General features: G+C 42.2%; 1 protein-coding gene across 2 annotated transcripts in view, besides 1 other annotated feature; it reads right to left on the bottom strand.

Moving 5' to 3' along the window:
- Positions 1 to 23,953, bottom strand: part of PARM1 (prostate androgen-regulated mucin-like protein 1) — a 116,998-nt gene that overhangs the window by 21,539 nt on the left and 71,506 nt on the right. For both annotated transcript variants that reach the window (XM_011531833.1, NM_015393.4), the window contains one exon: positions 15,425 to 16,150. In XM_011531833.1, coding sequence (XP_011530135.1) covers positions 15,425 to 16,150 — 726 coding nt within the window. The remainder of the gene's footprint in view (positions 1 to 15,424; positions 16,151 to 23,953) is intronic.
- Positions 1,527 to 2,067: an enhancer, noted in NCBI's record as "NANOG hESC enhancer chr4:75951718-75952258 (GRCh37/hg19 assembly coordinates)". NCBI's record gives its function as "activates a minimal SCP1, AML or CMV promoter by ChIP-STARR-seq in naive H9 embryonic stem cells {active_cell/tissue: H9 hESC(naive)}" and the evidence as "EXISTENCE:reporter gene assay evidence [ECO:0000049][PMID:30033119]".

Below are 23,953 nucleotides of genomic sequence, written 5' to 3'. Positions count from 1 at the left end.
CTCTGATCTATTTTGAGAAGAGTCTTTAACAAACCTCTTGACTGTTTTTCAATATTCTTGCGCTTTTCTTTCCACTTCCTGGTCCAGAGATTAGGTAAGAATTGGAGAAGAGGAGCAGGTGGCCACTTCAGGGTGTGCCGCAGCTCCTTCAGTCAAGGTCACCAAGAGGAAAGGAACATTTTGTCTCAGAGGAATTCTTTCTCTTTAAAAGCATGTATCTGTGGATGTGCTGGAGGAGGGAAGTGGGCGACTGGCGAGGGCTTGACAGTTAGAACTCTGTGTGTGCCGAATCTCTATTTATTATGCTAGGCTCTTCATTCTCACAGCAAGAGCATCAGATCATGTCTCCTTCCTCCAAAGAACAACAGTAATAGCAGGAGAAATCAACGACAACAAAAATAATAGCAACTAACACTTTCCTGTTACTTACTGTGTGCCAGGGACTGTTCTATGAGCTTCACTTATTTCAGTTCATTTAATCCTCATGAGAAAGTAGGTATTCTTGTTATCTCCATTTTACAGTTGGGGAAACTGAGTCACAGAGATGCTAAGGACCCAAAGCCACAGAACTGCTAAGTAGAAGAACTGGGATACAAGCACAGGTTCGAGAGTCCATGTGTTGCCCACTAGGCTCTCCTGCCACCCTGGGCTCTAGTACTAAATCCTCAACTGCTTTTAAATAAAACCTACAGCTCTGGTACATCCTCTGTCTGCTTTCTGTTAGCTGCCCAGGAATCAGGGCCTGCCTTAGGCTGTGTGATGGCTTGGGTCCTCTTGTACATACTGGTGAAGGAAGAATGAAGCTCAATAATTCAAATTAATTGGGAAGAGGGCTAGTTAGAAGCAGACAACAGTTCTAGAACAGCAACCTTAGATCGTTCAGGTCATTGGTTTCTAGTGTGTGCTGTGGTGCAAAATAACTGCTCAGAATCCTGCCAAATGCTGTTCATTTCAGTGTGTTAAATAACCCAGGGTACATGGTAACTGCAATTTGCTTCTAGTGGGGTGGTAGTGGGAGTGGGGTGTAGTTTGTGAGATGGAGAGAAAGTGAGAAAAGAAAACCTTAGTTCTTAGACACTGCAACCTAGGTAGATCTTAATTTTACCATTATTGGAAGTCTCTTTGTCTTCTGGCCTTGTCTGCTTGGATTTCATGCCCATTCTTCTTTCCATTCCACCCCATGCCAGGGGAAGCACATCTCGTCTCCTCCCTCTTACCCCAAATCCACCCTACAAGCCTCTCCCGAATGAGCTCCATGGGCTCACCTTAAGCCAGGACAGTGTGGTGTGTAGAGACCCAATAGGCAGGGGCCCTGAGGTTTCACCACTCCATGGCGGAGACAAGTGTCAGGCCCCGGGAACCATTCTGGGGTGGGCAGGATTGGATGGGATAGGCAGGCAGGGAGGTAAGAGAGGTGAGTAGTGCCAGCCTCTGTATTTCTGCCTGTGGGTGGAATGGTGCCTAAGGTGGGTGGGCCTGTAAAGTCTGGAGCAGTCTTGGAAAGAGTTGGGAATGAAGCTGTTCTCTGATGGATGGGGCAGGACTTGGACAGACAGCAAAGGAGGATCGAGGCAGGAACCACCTCAGAGGAGGGCAGACACCCAATATTTATGGGCTTGAAGGGTTTGCACTGGGCTTGAAGACAGAGCACCTTGACTGGTGTTCTTAACTAAAAAATGGGCTAATCCCTGTCCTCTCCACCTCATAGGGCTACTGGGAAGATCAAATGCTTTGTAAATTAGCATGAACAAAGGGGGCTGTTGAGATCTTTGTAAAGGCCAGTGTCTTCATTTTATGGATTCGGAGACTGAAATGCTGCAGGACTGACTAAGTGACAAAACGAGGACCACAGGCTATATAAGAAAGCGTAATGGAAATTAAGGAGATCATGTAAATGGTTGAGTACTCAGGACCAAATCAAAAAAACTCTGAAAGCCAGGGATCATGGTGTTTGGGCTTGATAGTTTGGGGAGCAGGGACCATGGAAGTGCTTTGGGAATAAGGATGCACCTTTTATGCAAAATCCTTCTCAAGTCCAACCTTCTCTTGGAACTCATCCCGATGACAGTCACTATCTTGAGTCCTCTTTTTCTAGACATTTGCTGTTTTATTTTGTATGGGACAATTTAGTAAATTTGTTTTAGTATGTAACTGATACTGCCATATGTAGCTGTGGGTGGTTATGCATATTATACATATAAGACATAGATATATGAAATACACTGTAATACCAGTGGCTTTATGAGAATACATTCTGCCTACTCTCTAGACTGAAAGTCTCTTAAAGCCAGGTATACCACATTATACTTTATTATTTGTCTAGGCCCAAAGTAAGTGATTCACAAAATAACTCTGATTTCTTCTGAAGCACAGCTATTTTTTAAAAACCTGAACTTTATTAGTAGTTATGTTGCAAAAAGAAAGCATCTTTCTAAGGAAAACAGCTTGCATAAAAGTATGCTACAGAAGTATTTTTAATTAACACAACCTAAGCTTGTCTCTGTAAATTAGTAAATTAGTCCTTTTCCCCATTACTCCTCTCTCAAAATCTTTACATCATTAAGCTACCAGTCATTTGTTTACACAGAGTGGCAGAGGTAAACTTTATAAAAATTAGCCAAGTATTATCACGGCTGGAATGTTTTACCTCATGTTTATACTCTTATCTACATGCTAGTTAGTGGGCAGAATTGGGATTCGAACTGTGAGGTAGGATCCCAACATCTATATGTTTCCACTTCATGTCATCAGAAGACCTGGTTTAGAGACTGGCTTCACTTTTATCTAAAAGGATGTTACCTACCTAAAGCTTGTAGTTAAAAATGTATGCTAGAAATATTAATCTTGGTTGAGATAATAAAATACTTGCACTTGCGCAAGCCCAGTGCTTGTTTCCTCTTCCTTCATTTCTCTCTCATGGGGGCACGTCAGCTGTATTTTAAGGACCTGGGGAGCGCACATTTGCAATTAATGCAAACCAGGCACACATGACGGCACAGTTCTTGGTTACCATGGTTTTAAAGTTTCTTCACTTCACTTAGAATTACAATCTTTTCCCACACGAATGAAGCCTCTTTTCCACTTGGAATTTATTTTAACTGTGTGTTCAGATTGTTCAATCTCAGCTGTCTTTTGACACCTGTAATGTGAACTATACTGGTTTTCTAAGAATAATGAGAGATATTCTTCATTGCCTTTTCTCAAGGCAAAGCAGCTGTCTTCCACCTTAGAACAACCGATTAACACATAGCAACTCCAGCTAAGTGTCTGGGATCAATCCCCTCATTCAGTTGTGCTAATGGTGCTCCCCAGATCAAAAGGAGTGTGCCAGAAATGAGGAACACCAGAGGCCAGGCTGGGGAATCTCAACTCCTAGGTCATCTCTGTGAATGAAGCTTAGAGGGGTGAATATGGACTGCAGTTAGCATGCCACCGTCTTGCTCAGTAGGTGCCAGCATCTCCATGAACAATGAGAGAGAAGAGCTTTTTGTTGTTGCTGTTGTTGTTACCCTCTCCTCTATCTCTTTAGTATTTCAATGATGAAAACAAGACATGACTATGGATAAAATACTACTAAAGGGGCTGGGAACAGTGGCTTACGCCTGTAATCCCGGCACTTTGGGAGACCAAGGCGGGTGGATCACCTGAGGTCAGGAGTTTGAGACCAACCTGGCCAACATGGTGAAACTTTGTACTAAAAATACAATAATTAGCGGGGCGTGGTGGCGGACACCTGTAATTCCAGCTATTCAGGAGGCTGAGGCAGGAGAATCGCTTGAACCCAGGAGGTGGAGTTTGCAGTGAGCCGAAATCAAGCCATCACAGTCCAGCCTGGGCGACGAGAGTGAGCAAAATTCAGTCTCAAAGAAAACAAACAAACAAAAAACTAAAGGGAAAAATAAACGAGAAAAGTTTGCATATGTCCTTTGGAAAAATCATCCAGTCTGCTAAGGTGAAGGCTCAGATCCTTGTGGGGTTCACCAACCTTGGCAAGTGAGAGCTTCCACACTGGTATTTTCTTGGTTCAGAGGACATAAGCAAGAAGGAAGAACTTCTAAAAGCCCAGGACAAAGTCCTAACTCTGGTTGCCAAGCAGTGTGCAAGTTTATCTTTTTTAATCACAGAATATGGGCAGGGAACAGAGAGTCATAGTTTCAGGTTACCTATCCTGACACCTTGACCAAGGGCAGTGACATCAATATAATTACTACAGTCCCAAGGACTCAGGGACCTCCTAGGAACCACTAGCTAAATTTAGCCTTACTCCATGTCATTAATCAGCAAGGCCATGCAGGAACTTGCTATTTTTTTTTTTTTTTGACAGAGTCTCGCTCTGCCGCCCAGGCTGGAGTGTGCAGTGGCGCAAGCTCCGCCTCCCGGGTTCACGCCATTCTCCTGCCTCAGCCTCCGGAGTAGCTGGGACTACAGGCGCCCGCTACCACGCCAGGCTAATTTTTGGTATTTTTTAGTAGAGACGGGGTTTCACCGTGTTAGCCAGGATGGTCTTGATCTCCTGACCTCGTGATCTGCCCGTCTCGGCCTCCCAAAGTGCTGGGATTACAGGCGTGAGCCACCGCACCTGGCCAGGAACTTGCTTTTGAATACTGTGTTTACCAAGTGTTAATTTCCCCCAGACTCAGGAATTCAAAGTTTTGGAGTTAAAAACGTGGGAAAGAAAAATAATTTCCAACTTTGATGCCAGTTAAGGGAAGAGTACAACTTCTAGGTCTCAACTGTCCAACCTCAGGGGCAGATGGGACCCAGGCTAAATCCTGCAGCTCAGCCTTTTTTCCCCCAACGCCCCAAGATTGCCTTTCTCTTAGCTAGAAATCTTCAGTTGTTTGGACTCTTTAACACTTTTCTTTGGATTTTCCAAGTTTTCTGAAACTGTTATTATTTCAGATGTGAACATAGCTATTTTTCTCCTTTATACTTTTTGGACTATGCTTTTCTGTATTATGCTGTAGGCAGGTACTTAAGTGAACTTTTATTACCTAATATTCACAGTAATAATCACTTTGGGAATCTTAAAGTGTTTTTACAAACATTCTAATTCTTCAAGTTAAGAAAATCAGAGTCTAGAAGAGTCAAAACTCTTGCTGGTTGGTATCCACATTGAGAATTAAGGACCCAACTGTAATAATAATAGCTAACGTTTATGTAGTGCTTACTATGTAAGAGGCACTTTATATACTTGTCTCATTTAACCCTAATAAGAATCCTGTAAAACAGGTACAGTACTATAATTACCCTCATCATATAGATGAGGAAAATGGAACACCTGTGATAAATAAACTTGCTCAATTCTCCCATTTAGCAAATAGCACTGGTGAGATTTGAACCAGGCAGTCTGAGGCCAAAGCTTGTGCTGTTACTAACATTCTTGCCTTCCTACAGCCTGTCTTTGAAATGACTCCGTGATTTCTCCACATGGAAATATGGCAAAGTGTTTTTGATGGCCCACATCCATGGACCTACTGAGATTTTATAATTTTAACATAAATTTGCCTTCATCTTTGAGCCTCTGGTCTACCCCTTGAAGGCCATGAGTCTGACAATAAAAGCATTATACTGTTAAATAAAATATCATCTCTTTTGGCCAATATTTTTCTCTCCTAGGACCTGAGGGGGAACAAAGCATGCTGAGGACAATATTAAGTTAGCATCTATTATATGCACTCCTAATGCAATATTCCTGACTTGACTCTCTGAAATGAGTTTTTTAGAACCTTTCTGATAAAGATGATGGGAGGGTGTTGATCCATTCTCATTTCCCTGCCAAATTATTTTGTAACTAAAAAGGCATGCTTTTTTGAGTTGGAAGATTAGAGTACGGGTTCAGTCAGGGTATGGAATCAAGCATATCCATATCCTGGCATATTAATGGTATCAGCTGTATCTATAAGTTAAATCCCACTTTCTCAGTGAAGCATTTCCACAGCCACTTTCATCATATGCAACTGGTGAAAGCATTTGAAACAGAAAAAGAAAATTGCTCCATAAAGACAAAAACTTTCCAAATGTAATAAAAGGTGACATTGGGACAATTAAAACATGTGATAGAGTTATATTGCTACTACATGACAAACTAAATAGATAGTAAATAGCTGATTTTATTACCTTGACATGTATATCTCAAAAGATATTTTGGAAACATTTCAAAAGCAGATTAAGATTTAGGTAGTAAAAGTGAGCCAAAGGAGAAATATAAGAAGAAGAGACAATAATTCGGAATAATTTTTACTTAAAATAAAATCTGACAGCTGGAGCCCCTTATGAGAGTTTATCTTGTTTTAGGAAACTTTGAGGTTTAAACTAAGTTTAAAGAATAGGCAAACAACAAGTATATGAAAAAGTGCTCAACACCACTAATCATTAGAGAAATGCAAATCAAAACCATGATGAGATACCATCTCACACCAGTCAGAATGGCTATTATTAAAAAGTTGAAGATAGACACTGGTGAGGTTGCAGAGAAAAGGGAATGCTTATACACTGCTGGTGGAAATTCAAATGAGTTCAGCCACTGTGGAAAGCAGTTTGGAGATTTCTCAAAGAGCTTGAAACAGAATTACCATTTGACCCAGTAATCTCATTATTGAGTATATACCCAAAGGAAAATAAATAGTTCCACCATGAAGACACTTGCACATGTATGTTCATCACAGCACTATTCACAATAGCAAAGACATAGAATCTACCTAAATTCCCACCAATGGTGGATTAGATAAAGAAAATGTGGTATATATACACTACGGAATACTATTCAGCCATAAAAGGAATGAAATCCTGCCCTTTGCGGCAACATGGATGGAGCTGGAGGCCATTAGCCTAAGCAAATTAATGCAGGAACAGAAAACCAAACACTGCATGTTCTGACTTAGGAGGAAGGTAAACCTCGAGTATACGTAGACACAAAGAAGGGAACAACAGACATAGGGACCTAGTTGAGGGTGGAGGGTGGGAGGAGGGTGAGGATAAAAAAAAACTAACTATAGCGCACTATGCTTATTACCTCAGTAACAAAATAATCTGTACAACAAACTCGCATGACACACAATTTACCCATGTAACAGACCTGCACATGTACCCTCCAAAACTGAAATAAAAGTTGGAAGGAAAAAAAAAAAGAACTGGGCACAAAAGAAAAAAATATGAGTGAGAGTTTATAACAACCCATAGCATTGGCAGCCTTGGAGTCTATGGGAAAACCAAAGAAGGGAGTCAGAATGGTGAGAAGAGAGGTGAGGTGGGCTTGGTGTGGGCAGCAGAAAGTCCTTTAGACAGCTACACTGCTTAAAGGCATCCGAGGGGATGTCTTTGCAGACACAGTGAGGATGTTCAATTTTTCTTCATTTTCATTTCAAAGCTCAGGATTAATGAGGCTAACACAATACGTGAATTTATTGTCTAAAGATTGATATTGTCACCAAAAATCATTGATTGATTGATTGATTCATTGGACATTTATTGAAAACCTACACTGAGCCAGACACTGTTAGGTGCTGGGAATATATTTGTGAGCCAAAATAGACAAGGACCCACCCTCAGGTACTTTAAAAGCAGTGAAGACAATGAACAAATAAACACAAGAAAAATGTATAATCACATGCTGCGAAGAAGAGATGCAATTGACTTGTGACAAGTTGTAACTGGGAGGCCAACACTGGACAGGGGGCTCCATAAGAGACCTTCTGAGCAGGTGCTATTTGATCTGAGACCTGAGGAATGAGCTGGAATTAACCAGGTGAAGTGATGGGTTGTGAGAAAGTCCCAGGTAGCGTCTAAGTGAGTCAAGGCCCTAAGTCAAGAGGGAGACACAGGCGCTCATGGAACTGAGAGACAGCCAGTGTGGGTGGTGCAGAGAGCGAGGGGAGGGTTGTGGGATGACACTGGGGTGACAAGTGGAGCCCACATAAACTGAAGGTGTGTGGACTTCACCCTAAAAGCAGCGGAGTGCCCCCAGGGGCTGAGATGGTGGTGGTAGTAAGGTTATGTGAGCCTTGATCAGATTTGTGTTTAACTGTCACTCTGGCTGCTGTGTGGACAACAGGGAGTAGGGAGATGGGTGCGGGGGGGGGGAAATGAGGGGCAGTTGAGAGGCTATTGCGGTGGGATTATGGGAGCTCTGAGATAAAAATGAAGAGAAGTAGATGAATTTGAGAGCTACCAAGAGTTCAAAATCAACAGTACTCAGTGACAGAGGGGAGTTAGGGAGTGGGAGAGAGAGAACTGAAAAGATGGTGGTGACACTCACCGTAAGACGACCAGGTCTGGGCATATACAATGATCTAATATTTGTAAAGCTGAGCGTAAGATACCATACTTGTTAGGATTATTGCTTTCTGATACATTCTGGCCATTTTAAAAGAATCTGACCAGTAAATGTTTGCCATTCTTTAACATGGTCTTCTCACACCTATGTTTTTGTTTTTAATTAAATAATTGTTTTCCCCTTTAACCTATTTTTAATATGTCAGTTAAACATGATGGTCATTAACTTACTACAATATACATTTTTCGCTTCTGAAATTTTCTTTTTTTTTTTTTTTTTTTTTTTTTTTTGAGACGGAGTCTCGTTCTGTCGCCCAGGCCGGACTGCGGACTGCAGTGGCGCAATCTCGGCTCACTGCAAGCTCCGCTTCCTGGGTTCACGCCATTCTCCTGCCTCAGCCTCCCGAGTAGCTGGGACTACAGGCGCCCGCCACCGCGCCCGGCTAATTTTTTGTATTTTTAGTAGAGACGGGGTTTCACCTTGTTAGCCAGGATGGTCTCGATCTCCTGACCTCATGATCCACCCGCCTCGGCCTCCCAAAGTGCTGGGATTACAGGCGTGAGCCACCGCGCCCGGGCGAAATTTTCTAGGTATACTTTTAAAATTATTGTTTCATCTTTTCTACAAGTTGATTCTTTTTTCAAATCTAAGGTTTATGGGTGTCTTGTAGAGCTGAAAGTCCCTTGCAGGTATGGACATAGAGATGTCTAGATGTCTGTGCCTACTTAGTGCCCTTTATTTAAATGTATTTATTGGCATCGCTCATACTGGATAAATACTAGGGTTCAGATCAGCAATTTAATGTTCAATGGTCTTCACCAATTTTCACGGTTGTGTGTGCTTCTCTTTATGGTGAAAATAATAGGATAGTGAAAGACCAGTGGACATGTGGATTTTACAGACAAAAGAGAGTATCTACTTTGCAACAAGCACAGTAACTATAATTTTAAAGTTTGCATATGCAAGAACTGATGATGTTTTGAATATTACTTGTTTTGCAATGTCAGTTAATCCCTCAGGCATGTACTGAGCACCAAATTGTTCATAGCACCATTCAATGTTGTTCAGGGAGTCAAACACACACTGTAGTCATAGTTTTCATCCTTGAAGAGATCTGATTTAATAAAACAAAATGACCCAAATTTAACAGATCACGTCTTTCTCTCTTCCTTTAAGAGCCAAACAAAAGCTAAAAAATGAAAATCAATCAAAACTCTTCTTCTGCACAGCCAATTTTGCATGGCTGCTACCACCATCTGCTTCCCCTCCCACTGGGCAGCTCTACCCCTGGGACCCAGCTGGCAACATCTGGCAACTAGCCCATCTAGCTCATTTCTACAGTAATGCTGAAGCCCATCAGTTCTTCCCCAACTCTGTGTCTCTACTAATTCGGGTAGGATGGGCATTGTGAAAGGAACACTTGGCTTTGGGTCTGTCAGGGGAACTGGATTTCAATCCTGGTCTGGTCACTCAAGTGAGAATTTGAGTCAGTCACTTAGTCTCTCTGGACTTGTTTTGTCACCTGTAAAACAGATACTGCTGAGCTCACACCACTGGAACGTTCTGAGGATCAGATGAGGGCTACCTGTGTCAGTCGCTAGCCCAATTCTTGGAACATACATATTCTCAGTATGCCTCATACGACCATGAACCTCATGTCTTCTGTAAAGGATAATTGTAATAAATAATTACCATAGTATGAAAAGCCAAAAGGACCTGAGAGACTGCTTCTCTTGTATTCAGTTTACAACCAAGAGCCTTTTAAGTTAGAGTAGCTAAGTGACGTGCCTACTATCAGTGCATGACAATGACAAACCAGAAAACAGTTATAAACTGGCATACATGGTTCCAAATCTGAACTCCCTGCAACTTGACATACATATTCCCACCAGTTGAATACTTTTAAAATATGATTCTCAATATGTTCTTCCCCTGATCAAAAGACTTTGGTGACTATAAATGGCCTAGAAAGTAAACCAATTGTCTTAGGCTGCTCCCTAGTGTTCTCTAATGCTTGCCCTGAAGTCGTCCTTCCTACATCTACAGTGTCTCCCTCCATGTAGCTTGGGACCCAAACTAGGTTACTCACTATGCCATATGCCATGTGCACACTACATTGTAATGTCCATGAGTGAAGTGACTGTATTACTCATGGCTATAACCCTAGTATTTAACCAGATGCCTGGCTCATAGTAGAAGCTCAATAAATATTTGTTGAAGATGGTGGGCATTCTTCAATATGATAAATAAAATAATAACAATGATAATCACACCAGCAGAATAGTAATAACAGTAAACAATAGTAAAGTAGCAACCATAGCCATTGATTGAGCTATTGCTCAACAGCCATATGCTATAAATTTATTATCTTACCTGAACCTTCTAATAACCGCATTATGTGAATACTATCCCTATCCTATTTTACTGATGATAGGATCAAGGCTCAGGGAGATCTAATAACTTCCCTAATATTGGTTGATTGGCTCTTTTATTCATGTATTCAACAAATGTTATTGAAGGTCTACCATGTGTTGGGCTCTGTTCTAGGGGTTCAGGGTGTAGCCCATATCTTCCTATTTGCAAACAAGGTCCTTGCTTTCATGGTGGCATGAAAACAGACACTGACTCTGTCTAGTGGCAGAAAACAGACACTAACTTATCAAATAAATCAGATGATGTCAGAAAATGGTTAAGCGATAAAAAGAAAAATTAAGTAGGGAAAGGGATCAGTAGTGATGGGGGTTACTATTTCAGATGGGGGAGTGAGTAAAGGCTTGCTGAGGAGGTGAGAGGTAAACAGAATCCTGACTGATGAAAAGGAGGGAGCCATTGAAGATCTGGAGGGAGAATGTTCTAGATAGGGGGGATGGTAACTGCAAAATCCCTGAGACAGGAGTATCTCCAGTGTGTTCAAGAAGCAGTAAGACTGCCAGTGTGTCTGAGGGTGAGAGTGGACGAGGTGAGGGTAGAGGTCCTATGACCTGCTGAGCTTTGTAGGCATGGTAGAGACTTTGGCTTTTTCTCTGATTCAGAGCGGGGAGTGATTGAAATGTGAGAGCGGATGGATAGTGGAGTCTGTTCTGAGTTTTGAAAAGATCTGCCCGACAAGGGTGCAGTGAATAGTGAGATCAGTTGCAGGAATATTAAAGTGACACGTTTGAAAGATGACAGAGGGACGGGAGGCGATCAGCCCAGATCTCATGGACAGGATATACAGTATGTGAGAAAGAAAGGAGTCTAGGATTACTTTGAGGGTTTTGGCCTGAAGAATTGAAAGAAGACAGGAAATGATCAAGGGGCACAGGCTGAGAATTGAGGAAATCAATAATTTGCCTTAGACATATTAAGTGTGAGATGCCTATGAGCCACCCAGTGGAGATGATGAATTGGCTGACAGCTGGCTATACATGTCTATAGTTCAGTGAAGCAAAATGGGGAGAATTTTACATCTCAGTGTTATCAGCACATAGATGACAATGAAAGTCAAGAGTCATCCACGCAGGAGTGACGGTGGAGAGATCAGGGAGAAAGGAGGCCTGAGGTGCTCGACCTGGATAATGAAGGAAAATGAGGAAGTGAAGTGAGACAGCAGAGAGAGAAGGTAGTGAAAATGCACACTCTGAACGTCGAGCAGAGCCAGTGCTTTAACGATGAGGGCAGTGATCATCTGAGTCAGACACTGCTGGCAGGTCAGGTCAAACCAGGTCTAAGCACCAGAGAATACAAGAGCAGGGAGGCAGAATGGGGGAAGGGCTGAAAAACTACCTATTGGGTACTGTGATCACTACCTGGGTGATGGGATCAGTTGTACCCCAAACCTCAGCATCACGCAATATACCCACGTAACAAACCTGTGCATGTACCCACTGATCTAAAATAAAAGTTGAAATGATAAACAAACAAAAAAAAGATCTAAGAATTTACCCTTAGATCTGGCAATGTAGAGGGCACTGGATTATTCAACAAGAGCAGTTTAAGTGCTTACAACTTCTGCGTGGATTCTGAATGCAAGTGTGTCCACCCTTAATGATCGTGCTCTTGGTTCCTTGCCTTTGTAAATGAGCACCTGAAACTCCCTTTGCCCAAATCCCCTTCATCTCTCTTTAGGCTCAAATTTCCTTTATTTTCTGCAACTCAGCTCCCTGCTCTCTCCATCATGGAGCCCTTTCTTAAGGTCTATAGTCAAATTTAACTCCCATAATATTCACCTTGTTTCAGAATTATTCATTGGTGACTGTGTTTAGATATTTGTTGAGTGAGTGAATCCTTGGATTAATAGAAACATACTACGTGAACCCACACAGAATGAGACAAAATGCTATGCAAAATGTGGTGTTATTACTGCCACTACTAAAGGCAGCATAAAGAATCTCTAAATAAGAGCATCCCAAAATAGTAACCTGAAGCGCAAACCAACAGAATGTTGCTTGGTCTGCTAGCTAATAAAGGAGGAGTGCAGCAATTCAGAGTGGTGAGAGAGGACTTGACTTGGCTTAGAGCTCTGGGCCCTGGGCACAGGGCCCAATGCTGCCACTGGGCCATGTGATCTTGGGTGAGGCACTTCAAACTTCTGGGACACAGTTTCTTCACCTTTGAAGTGAACAGGTTCTATCACATCATCCCAAAGATCCTTCTGCCTACCAGGTTCATTCTCATATTAGAAACTAAGTACTGATATTAAGAGTTACTTGTCCTGTGTCCTTTCTCTCTACTTAAACTATAAAATCTCAAAGGATAGGTCTCATACTTGTTTTCATGAAGAAGAGGGTCTTGGTAAATGCAATCTAAATATTTTTTGATTTAGTAGGTCATAAGGATACATACTCTTTGGTCTATGAAATGTGTACTGGTCAGTGATGTCCCTCTAACCGGCCACACCTCTCTTCCCCAGTCATTTAAGCATTCTGTCATTTATTCTGAGTTTCTGCTATATGCAATATTCCCATGAACTTCAAGGTTTATGAGCCAACTGCCACCAATTTGGGGCCTCTTGACCCTGCTGGCCTAGAGTTGAGGAAATCAAGACATAGAGCCTAAAATCAAGCCAAGATATTAGAACAGAACTGTCTTGAATAACCCAGCCCATAAAACTAAGGTACTTGTAGGAAGGAGTAGATGTGTCAGTTTAGAGATTCATGTATGCTAAGCTTAGATTTTGTGGTCAGGAATATCAATCTGCTAGGTCTAAAGTATCCTGAAGGGGACAGAAAGTGAAGAGAGAGTGGCTGGTTAAAAACTGAAAAAGTTGTACAGACAAGTGGTGGTGAGGGCCTGAAATAGGAAAGAAAAAAAATGTGGTCACTGTATTTTGATGATCCCTTTGTTTAAGATGGTTCTTAAGATATCGCATCAAAGTCAACACCAACTCTGCTCCAGGAACCAATGTCAGAGATGTTACCTTCATGCTGGGAACCTGGGGTGCAGGGGTTTGGATAGAGACAGACTGAAGATACACATTCAAGCTCAATGTTTTAAGTGCTGGCCTGGAGGTATAAAAAAGGTGCTAATGGGGTGATGGGCTGCACAGAGGAGTCAATAGATTTCCTCCCTTCACCTCTGCAGATCCACTCTCCACCCTTCTCTGTGTGGTTCTCTGACCAGCCCTCTAGGAGGCCAACCTGCATGGACCACACCAGTGGGTCCCCTTGTTCTTGGCTTCTTGCTGCATATCAGAGGAGCAGGGAGAGGGAGGGCAGAGTAGTCATTCCCTTCACTCCAGGGAGGTTAACCTTGAGATTGTTGTGTCCCTCAGCCAAGAGTCACTGCTCCTGATGGCATGGTCAACTCTACTGGGCCTCTCCTTCTGGGTTCTGGTTACTACTCCCTCCTTTCCTCCTAGGTCTGGCCTGTAACAGCCCTGTTATTGTGACCCCCTGTGGTTCTCCCATTCCCCAGCCAGACCTTTGTCATTAGTTCCTTTATCCCAGTCTCAGTGTCTATCTTTTTCTTGTTGATATCCTCAATGATATACTGGGCCTTTGAAATAAAAATGTGCAATTCTCTGGGACTTCTTCCCTTACTAAATTGTGAGCTCTTCCATGAGGAATCACGTCTTCATTAATCTTAGTTCTATCTCTTCCTACCTCCACTGTCAAGCAGTTTCCATTCGTGATGGATGTATATCAATTGTTTGTTAAAAGTTGTGATTCTCTCCTCAGTGATGGCCATTCCTTTGACCCCAACTGACCATGCAGGGTTCTGTCTGGAAATGACCTTCTCAGTCTTCACCTCTCACAGGACCACCCAGGGGAGGGGCTGCAGCTCCATTTCCCCCTCTAACTTCTGGCTCATCTAAAATGAGCTCATCTCACTCTTTCTCAGCTAAGTGGTGAAATGCTCCGATGAAAGACTCTTCCTGCCCAGTACCCTAAATTGTACAGTCTTCACATCAATGTCAGATGCAGGTGACCTCAGAAAGGGCCCTTGATTTCTCTCCACCATAATTTCCAAGATTACAAAACAAAGATAAAAATAATACTAACTTCATATAATTATTGGGAAAATAAAAACAGATGTGACATCTTGTAAAATTTATTGTCTTTCCCTTGAAATATATCAGTGACTATAAAGAATAAGTAAGTTTTCTCCACTCCTACTCTACTTTGACTGGTTTCCAAAAGGGAGACACTACTTTAAAACACTGAGCAGAATAATAATAACAAATGACATTTCCTGAGCATTTACTCCCTGCCAGGAACTGTTCTAAGTGCTTTATGTCATTTCAGTTAATCTCCACAAGAACTGTGTGCAGTAGCAACTGTTTTATCCCATTTTACAGATGTGGAAAAATACAGGCACAAAGAGGTGAAGTAACTTGTCTAAGGTCAGGAGCCAGAGTTGAAACCTAGGAAGCTTGGCCAAAGCCATGCTGTTAATCCCTTTGCTATCTGGTCTCATGTGCTTACATTCCCTGTAGCATCATTATGACTTGTGAAAACAGGTCATAAAGGTGCAATTGGCCACAGTGAATCATGAAAATTGTTAAGTGACTAAAAATAAAGTTTGCACTCGTGGAAATTCTTGTGAATTATAATTCAACTTAGGTGTTACACTCCAAAATTCAAATTTTCCATTGTGTTTGGTTCACTGAACTGCATTCTTAATGTGAGGGTGTAGTAAAGAAAACTAGTGGACTGGATAGAGACTCACCTGAACTTAATGCATGTTCTACTTCCTGCATGATCACCCTGGGAAAGGTGGTGGTGGTCTCCATGTCTATGAGCTCACACATCACTTTGCCTGACACAGTTGTTGGGGGTGTTTTCTCCTGGGGTACTGGCTCAGCTGTGGCATGTGAAGTGGGTGTGTGGTCAGAGCTGGACTCCTCTGTCGGGGACTCTGGTGCAGTTGGAGCTCCAGTGGGTTGGGTGCTGGTCACAGTGGAGCTATGGTTGGTAGTAACGGAGGCAGAAAAGACCTCAGGTGGTGAGGTTGATAGGGATGAGGGTGATGAGGCTGGAGCTTGAGGGGAGATGAGTGTGGGAGGCTCAGCAGCGGACTGCGACAGTGTAGCTGCCACGCCTGCTTCAGGAGTGCCCGAGCTGTGTTCCTCCAACGTGGTTGTTAAGTGGACTCCACCGCTTGTTGACGAGAACCCAGAAGGTGAGGGGTCTGTGTTTGTGCCTTCCCAATTCGAACCTGGGCTGGTGATCTCCTCTTCTCTGGACTCTATGGAAATGTTCTTAGGAAGCAGAGATGTTGGGGCTGATGCTGTAACTGGGAGCACCGAGTTGTTGTGAGTGCCGTTGGATGGGGAGGCAGTGTCTGCATCAGTGTTTTGTGGAGAGCTAGTCCAGATGGTGGTCGGTGGTACAATGTTTGTCGGAAGAGAAACAGACAAAGGAGCTGATGTAGGCAGACTCTGTACCCTCCATCCTGTGGAAAAGCCAGTACAAAAGTGGTTAATATGTGAAAACACGGTAATATGTGAAATAGAGGCAAGGCTTTTACCCACAGCTGTTTTACAGCATTTTCACAGGTATTTCTCATTTTGCATTGTGCCCTCCCCAGTTGTGAAGGCAACTTTTAATGGACTTTCTTCCCACCAATTTCTCTACAAATCTCAGTAGGAACTCGCCCGAAACTCAGTAAGAACAATTAGTAGGACTGTCAACTCAAGACTAGCCAATGCATGGTATGAACTAATCTTGTCCCCAACTTGCTTAAAATCATGTCCTTAGAGAGTAAGACCCCCTGGAGAATTGATTTATGGGAACTTGTCTGGACTGCCGAGCAGCCAACTCCACAGCTCCTGTAGGAACGATGGGAGTGTGGACATTGGGAGTGGGGAAGGAGTGGTTGGTGATGAGTGTGGTCACTGGCAGGAGGGGGCTTCAGTCTCGTTCCATCCCACAGCTGAGGAGCTCACTGACTGGCTGTTCCATGTCTTGAGGGCTATCCATTCTGCACTTATGCACAGGGATATAAGGGATATGGACCTCCTGGCTGGGATGAATAAATATGTGAACACATTTCCTGCAGAGAAAGAAAAAGGGAGAGGTCCCAGAATAAAAGCTAGAAAGAGAAATCTGAGGTTTGGAAATATTTTCTGAGACTGGAACCCTGTCGTCTGAAATTCCAGCCTGAGGTCCTTACCATCATATCACTTGCCAAATGCACTCCTTCATATGTTGTAAAATTTACAGCTAGTTTCCATTCTTCCTTTCTCCTTCCCTGCACTTACTCATTTGGTTTCATTCATTGACTCATTCAATGATTATTTAATAAAGGGCTTTTATGTGCCAGTACTCTCCTGGACATGGGGTTCCTGGTTTCACTTTTAGGTAACACATATCTTGATTGCCTCCCCATACCCCCTTGTCATTCCCTGACTAGTATTTCCCCCAGTCATTTGCATCTCAGTAGATGGGACCCCCATTCACCCGGTTGCGCAGTTAAAAACCAAGATGTCACCCTTCATGTATTTCTTTCCCTCACATCCCACATCAAATCCATTAGTGAGTCAGGATGAGTCTACCTTGCAAATATAATCCTGATTCAACCACTTGTCACTATCTCCCCTATTATTTCAACATCCCCTGAGCCATTATAGTCACTAGCCTCGATGACTGCTGATTAGTTTGGATGTGCCCTCCAAATCTCAGGTTGAGATGTAAATGCCAGTGTTGGAAGTGGGGCCTGGTGGGGGTTGTTTTGGTCATAGGGACTGATCCCTCATGGTTTGATGCTGTCCTCATGGTAGTGAGTGAGTTCTCTCAGGATCTGGCTGTTTAAAACATGTGGCACCTCCCACCTACACTCTCTTGCTCCCATTCTCACCATGAGATGTGCCTGCTCCCACTTCCCCTTCCACCATAAGTAAAGCTCCATGAGGGCATCACCAGAAGCTGAGTAGATGCTGGTGCTGTGCTTGTACAGCCTGCAGAACCATGAGCCAATCAAACCTCTTTTCTTTATAAATTACCCGGCCTCAGGTATTCCTTTATAGCAATGCAAACACAACTGTAATAGTCTCTTAATTGGTCTTCTAGCCCCCTGGTTTCCTCCCTTTTAATGTGCTTTCCACTTAGCAGCCAGCATGATCTTTTATAGCAGTAAATCAGCTCATGTCCTTTCACTGATCAAAACCCTCCAAAGGTGTTCTGTTGTACTTAGAACAAAATCCAGAATTGCTTCCCTATGTAATCTCATGTTCTCGTCATCACTTTGATTGTGTCACCTCTTCCTCAAAGGAGTCTTCCCAGACAAGCCTTAACTAATTCTTTTCTACTCTAGCCTGTTGTCTATTTAAAAAAATTTTTTTTAATTTTTTATTGTGGTAAAGTATGCTAACACTTTACTATTACAACCAATTTTAAGTGTACAGTTCAATGGCAGTAACTATATATACATATTGTGCAACCATCATTATTCATCTGCAGAACTTTTTCATTTTCCCAAACTCAAACTCTGTGCCTATTAAACAACTCCCTTTTCCCCATGGGAATGGCATAAAAACAACCAACCATTCTACACTCTACTGTCTCTATGAATTGGATTGCTCTAAGTACCTCACATAAGTAGAATCATACAATATTTGTCCTTTTATGACTGGCTTATTTCACTTAGCAAAATGACTTCAAGTTTCATCCATGTGATAGCATGTGGCAGAATTTACTTCCTTTTTAAGGCTGAATAATATTCCACTGTATGTATGTATCACATTTTGTTTATCCGTTCATACACTGATAGATACTTGGGCTGTTTCCATCTTTGGGCTACTGTGAATATTGTTGCCATGAACGTGGGTGAACAAATATCTGTTTGAGTCCTTGCTGTCAGTTCTTTTGGGCATATTCCCAGAAGTGGAATTAATGAATCATATGGTAATTTTTTGCTTAATTTTTTTGAGGAAATGCCATACCCTTTGCTCATTTTCGTCTTTCACAATAAGAGAAGTGTTTTCCTGAAATTACATATTTATTTATTCACTTATTTATTGTCTCTTCTACTGGAATAAAAGCTCAATGAGGGCACAGTGACCTGGTCTTACTCATTGCTGTTTCCCCTGAGCCTAGGACAGCATTAGGTAAGTGCTTAATAAGGACTTGCGGGAGAAAGGAAGAAAGAGTAGAAAAATGAATTAACCCAAGAACCTTATTCATGAATACTCCAACATCTTTCCACTCTTTTCCACATGTCACTTTAGTTATGGCCACATCCATCATGGCTTCCTCAGGGAGGGCTGCCTACCTGGTATTATTTGAGGGCAAGATTCTTGCTTAAAGATCAGCTTCACTCATTTTAATTCCAACATAACATATGCCTATGACTGATGTCTAGTTAGGTCTTCAACTATTTAACTCTATGTACCCTGAGGATATTTCCTTGAAGGTGTCAAATAGGTAAAGGCCAACCATAATCAATATTCAAAAGGAATAGAACATGGCCTAGATGCCAGTCAGAGGAAGGGAGAAAAGACCAAAAGGGAAACATTCAGGTACTAGGCTAAAATCTGCTTACATCATCATTTGCCACTTGGCTGACTCAGGAGCTGATGGAAGGCCGTGCTATAGAGTTTATTCTGAATTTAACATTTGGATTGTCATCAAAATAATTGGCTTTATTTTATTTAAAAGGAGTTCATCAAGGCCATAAGCTTCAGGAGAGTTAATTTCCTGGTAAAGAGGAGGACAGACCTCCCAACTTAGGCCACATGCTATTCCATGCTGTTACGGTGGTCTTTTGGCAGCTGTGAACTGTCAACAGTTTTAGAATGAATACAGATCAAGAAATCTTTGAAATATGGACAAAACAACAGTTGGGACAAATATTATTAAAACATGGGATCCTATCTATGACCTTTGGAGCTTACTGGCTTTGCATTCTGGCAGCTGTCATGGCTGATTGAAGATTCCAAGGGCAAAAAAAAAAAAATGACACCATTTACCATTCATAGCATCATGTAATAGATAGGCAGATGGAGGTAGAGAGAGCCTCAGTCTGTTAGTCGAGTCAAAGAGTCTTGTCAAGCCTGAGATAAATGAGAAATCAGTCATCTACAAAGGAGAACCAATTCATTCATTCATTCATTCATTCAAGAATTTATTGAGCTTTTCCCTCAGAGAGCTCATACTCAGCTTCCTGTAATATGAGATGATAAGTGCTATATAAAAGTAAAACCAAGTTGTAATGGAAACTCTGAGGAAAGATTAATAAATTCTGTACTGATACCATGGAATGTAAAAATATACAAATGCCATTTTCGAATGACATTTAGAAAAGTCACAGAAGAGATGACATTTGAATTCGTCCTGAAAGAATAAGAATGCACAAGATACCACTTAAGATATCTGATGTTCAGAATGACACTTGCATTGTCGTTTCCAGTGGAGCTAAAAGCTGTACCATAGAAATCATTACAGTGCTGAAAATGACAAGCTCTGAGAATTGGTTTTGTTGCTGGAAATATCCATTTTCTTGTTTAATCTTACTAATACACTTTTACAATTCCTACCCTGCCTGCTTCCAAAGAGGACTGGAAGTGGTCATTCATTTCCCATAGCTATCTACTGAGTACTTATTTAAAGAACTTTACAGCCAAGTTCAGGCAATTTCTGTTCCTATCAAACTAACAATGCATGAAATTGTATGACAATGTTGGTTATCTTCATTTGAATGAGGCTTTAGAAGCCTCTGCTTTGCCTTATTTGATGGTACATTCCATAATGCACTGACTCCTGGGGTAGGTCTATTTCCAATACAAAGATAGCCAGGGCTAAGGCACCATGATGATCGTAGAGAATGCTTGCTGTCTTAGTCGGCTAGGACTGCTGTAACTAAATACCACAGATTGGGTGGCTTAAACAACAGAAATTTAATTTTCGCAGTTGTAAAGGCTAGGAAGCTCAAGATCAAAGTGCTGTCTGATTCAGTTTCTGGTGAGGGCCCACCCCCTGGCTTGAAGATGATCGCCTTCTATCTGTGTCCTCACGTGACCTTTCCTCACATGGCATGCGAGTGAAGACAGAGAGTAAGTTCTTTAATGTCCCTTCTTATAAGGGCACTAATTCCATCATAAGGGCCCCACCCACATGATCTCATCTAACTTTAATTACCACCTAGAGGCCCCATCCTCAAATACCATCACACTGGGGGCTAAAGCTTCAACATTCAGAATCAGTGTAGAACTCGTGTCTCTGCAGGAATACGAAACTGCATAAGTCAAACCAGTAAGAATGTAGCCTTTCTCAGGATTTCAAGGAAATTTTAGAGCTAGGGAGGGCCTAAATAATGAGTGAGTTTAACCCTTAATTTGATAAATGAGGGAGCAGACACAGAGAGAGGAAGTGGTGTAACTGACCTTACACTAAGAGGAAGAATTGGACAGTGTCTACCTGGAAAGAACTGTGCAGCAACAGAGTCAGAACTAGAACTCCTGCCCTGTGACCCCCACTGATACCCTGTGTCCCAGCCTCAAAAAGGCTGGTGGAACTTACTTTAGCAACCACTACTACAGAGAATGCAATGAGGAGCGCATGTGAGACTGGGCAGCTGAAGAAGTTAAAAAAATGTCTACAGTCCCACTAACAGTGTAAAAGTGTTCCTATTTCTCCACATCCTCTCCAGCACCTGTTGTTTCCTGACTTTTTAATGATCACCATTCTAACTGGTGTGAGATGGTATCTCATTGTGGTTTTGTTTTGCATTTCTCTCATGGCCAGTGATGATGAGCATTTTTTCCTGTGTCTGTTGGCTGCATAAATGTCTTCTTTTGAGAAGTGTCTGTTCATATCCTTCGCCCACTTTTTGATGGGGTTGCTTGATTTTTTCTTGTAAATTTATTTAAGTTCTTTGTAGATTCTGGATATTAGCCCTTTGTCAGATGGGTAGATCGCAAAAATTTTCTCCCATTATGTAGGTTGCCTGTTCACTCTGATGGTAGTTTCTTTTGTTGTGCAGAAGCTCTTTAGTTTAATTAGATCCCATTTGTCAATTTTGGCTTTTGTTGCCATTGCTTTTGGTGTTTTAGTCATGAAGTTCTTGCCCCTGCCTATGTCCTGAATGGTATTGCCTAGGTTTTCTTCTAGGGTTTTTATGGTTTTAGGTCTAACATTTAAGTTCAACCATTGTGGAAGACAGTGTGGCGATTCCTCAAGGATCTAGAACTGGAAATACTATTTGACCCAGCCATCCCATTACTGGGTATGTACCCAAAGGATTATAAATCATGCTGCTATAAAGACACATGCACATGTATATTTATTGTGGCACTATTCACAATAGCAAAGACTTGGAACCAACCCAAATGTCCATCAATGATAGACTGGATTAAGAAAATGTGGCACAGATACACCATGGAATACTATGCAGCCATAAAAAAAGATGAGTTCATGTCCTTTGTAGGGACATGGATGAAGCTGGAAACCATCATTCTCAGCAAACTATCACGAAGAAAGAAAACCAAACTCCACATGTTCTCACTCATAGGTGGGAATTGAACAATCAGAACACTTGGACAAGGGATGGGGAACATCACACACCGGGGCCTGCCGTAGGGTGGGGGGAGGGGGGACGGATAGCATTAGGAGATATACCTAATGTAAATGACAAGTTAATGGGTGCAGCACACCAACATGGCACATGTATACATATGTAACAAACCTGCAAGTTGTGCACATGTACCCTACAACTTAAAGTATAATAAAAAAAAATTAAAAAGTCATGCCTCCATACACCTTCCCACCCAAAACACAGCCACTTTTCTTTGAAGAAAATAATTAGTATTAGTATTTCCTTGAGAAGATATGATGAAGAAACTGAACCCATTACTTTCTCAGTTAGAGGTGAATGAGCATTGTTTCAAAACACAGTGACATTGCCAGAGATGGTGTGTCCTGCTGGGGCAGTGACAGGCCCACAGACATGAAAGGGACAGATTCAGGGAAGGGCATCTCTTAGACTTAGCCCATGTGTGCAGCCTAAAAGCCTGATAACCAGTTCAATCTGGAATTCCTCCTTGTAAGTTTACAGATAGCAGTGGTTCCTGAAGTCTGGTCAGGTTCAAGCTTTTTTGCTGCAAGAATAGCTGACGGATTGTTTCTCTGAAGAAAACCAGATTCTTGGTTGGATAGAAAACTATATGTTTCCACGTGTATTGTCCTCTATGGGGAGACCACTATTATAGTTTACATCCATTTGATATTTAAAAGAGCTAGTGTTTGGCTTGGTCCTCAGTTTCTAGACCTGCTAGGAGGGATGTGGGGGGCTGATTGTTGGGACATGCAGGTGAGTTCTTATGGTGCTGAGAGGAGGTAGAGGCATTGTAGCGTAGAGAGTCTGCCTTCTGTGCCTCCTGACCTGACTGGGTGTCAGGAATATGGGCAGTGAGTGCCCTGAACTCTGTCACCTTTTCCTGGATTCCATGAGCAACAACCTGGGCCAGTGGCAGAGTTGCAGACAGCCTGATTTTCTGTGTTGCTCACCTATTCTTTTTTTCTGTCCCTGGCCATGTCTTTCCCTGCTCTCAGCTTGTCAAGCACGTGAGAAAACATGTGGCAAAGCTTTGGCAAACTTGGTGAAACTTGATCAAAATGCAGTCAAGCCCTTTCCTGCTGCTGCCAAGTCAGCCGGGAGCATTGCTTGTGGTCGCCTGGCAGAGGCCACACAGCTGCTGAAGGTCTGTGTGCTGAGTAATTGCTACCAGTTTCTCCACCTGTTACGGCCACCATCGTGAACTGCTGAAAAGGCCAGTGGGACTGTTTAACACATATATTAACAAGTGTACTGAGCGCTTTACATACATCATCTTATTTAATTGAAATATAACCTCTGTGAGGTAGGCACCATTGTTATCTCGGTTTCACAGATGATAAGACAGAAGCTCAGAAAAGTTCAGTAATTTCCCTAAGGTCACACTGCTAGCACACGGTACAGCTGAAGCTTGAATGCAACACTGTTTAACTTTTAACCACCAGCTTTTTAATGATTCTATAGTATTGAATTGGGAAATGCAAAGGTGTTTTTGAAGTTTGGGCTCCATGTCTCCTTGGAGGCAGTTGGTAACCAGTTTGCTTCTATCTTTTCTAGTACATTCCCTAGTGTGGGCAACTAAGTGACTTTTTAAAAGTTATTAGACTGTATGAACCCTTCCCCTTCCCTTTAATCTGATCACAGGATTCCTACTGTCTTTGGGATAAAACCTGAGCTCCTTGGCACAAGACATGCCACCTTTCACAG

The sequence above is a fragment of the Homo sapiens genome, chromosome 4, assembly GCF_000001405.40.
Source record: "Homo sapiens chromosome 4, GRCh38.p14 Primary Assembly".
Lineage (NCBI taxonomy): Eukaryota > Metazoa > Chordata > Mammalia > Primates > Hominidae > Homo > Homo sapiens.
The sequence above is the reverse complement of the archived record's forward strand: the minus strand, read 5'-3'. Positions and strand labels throughout refer to the sequence as shown.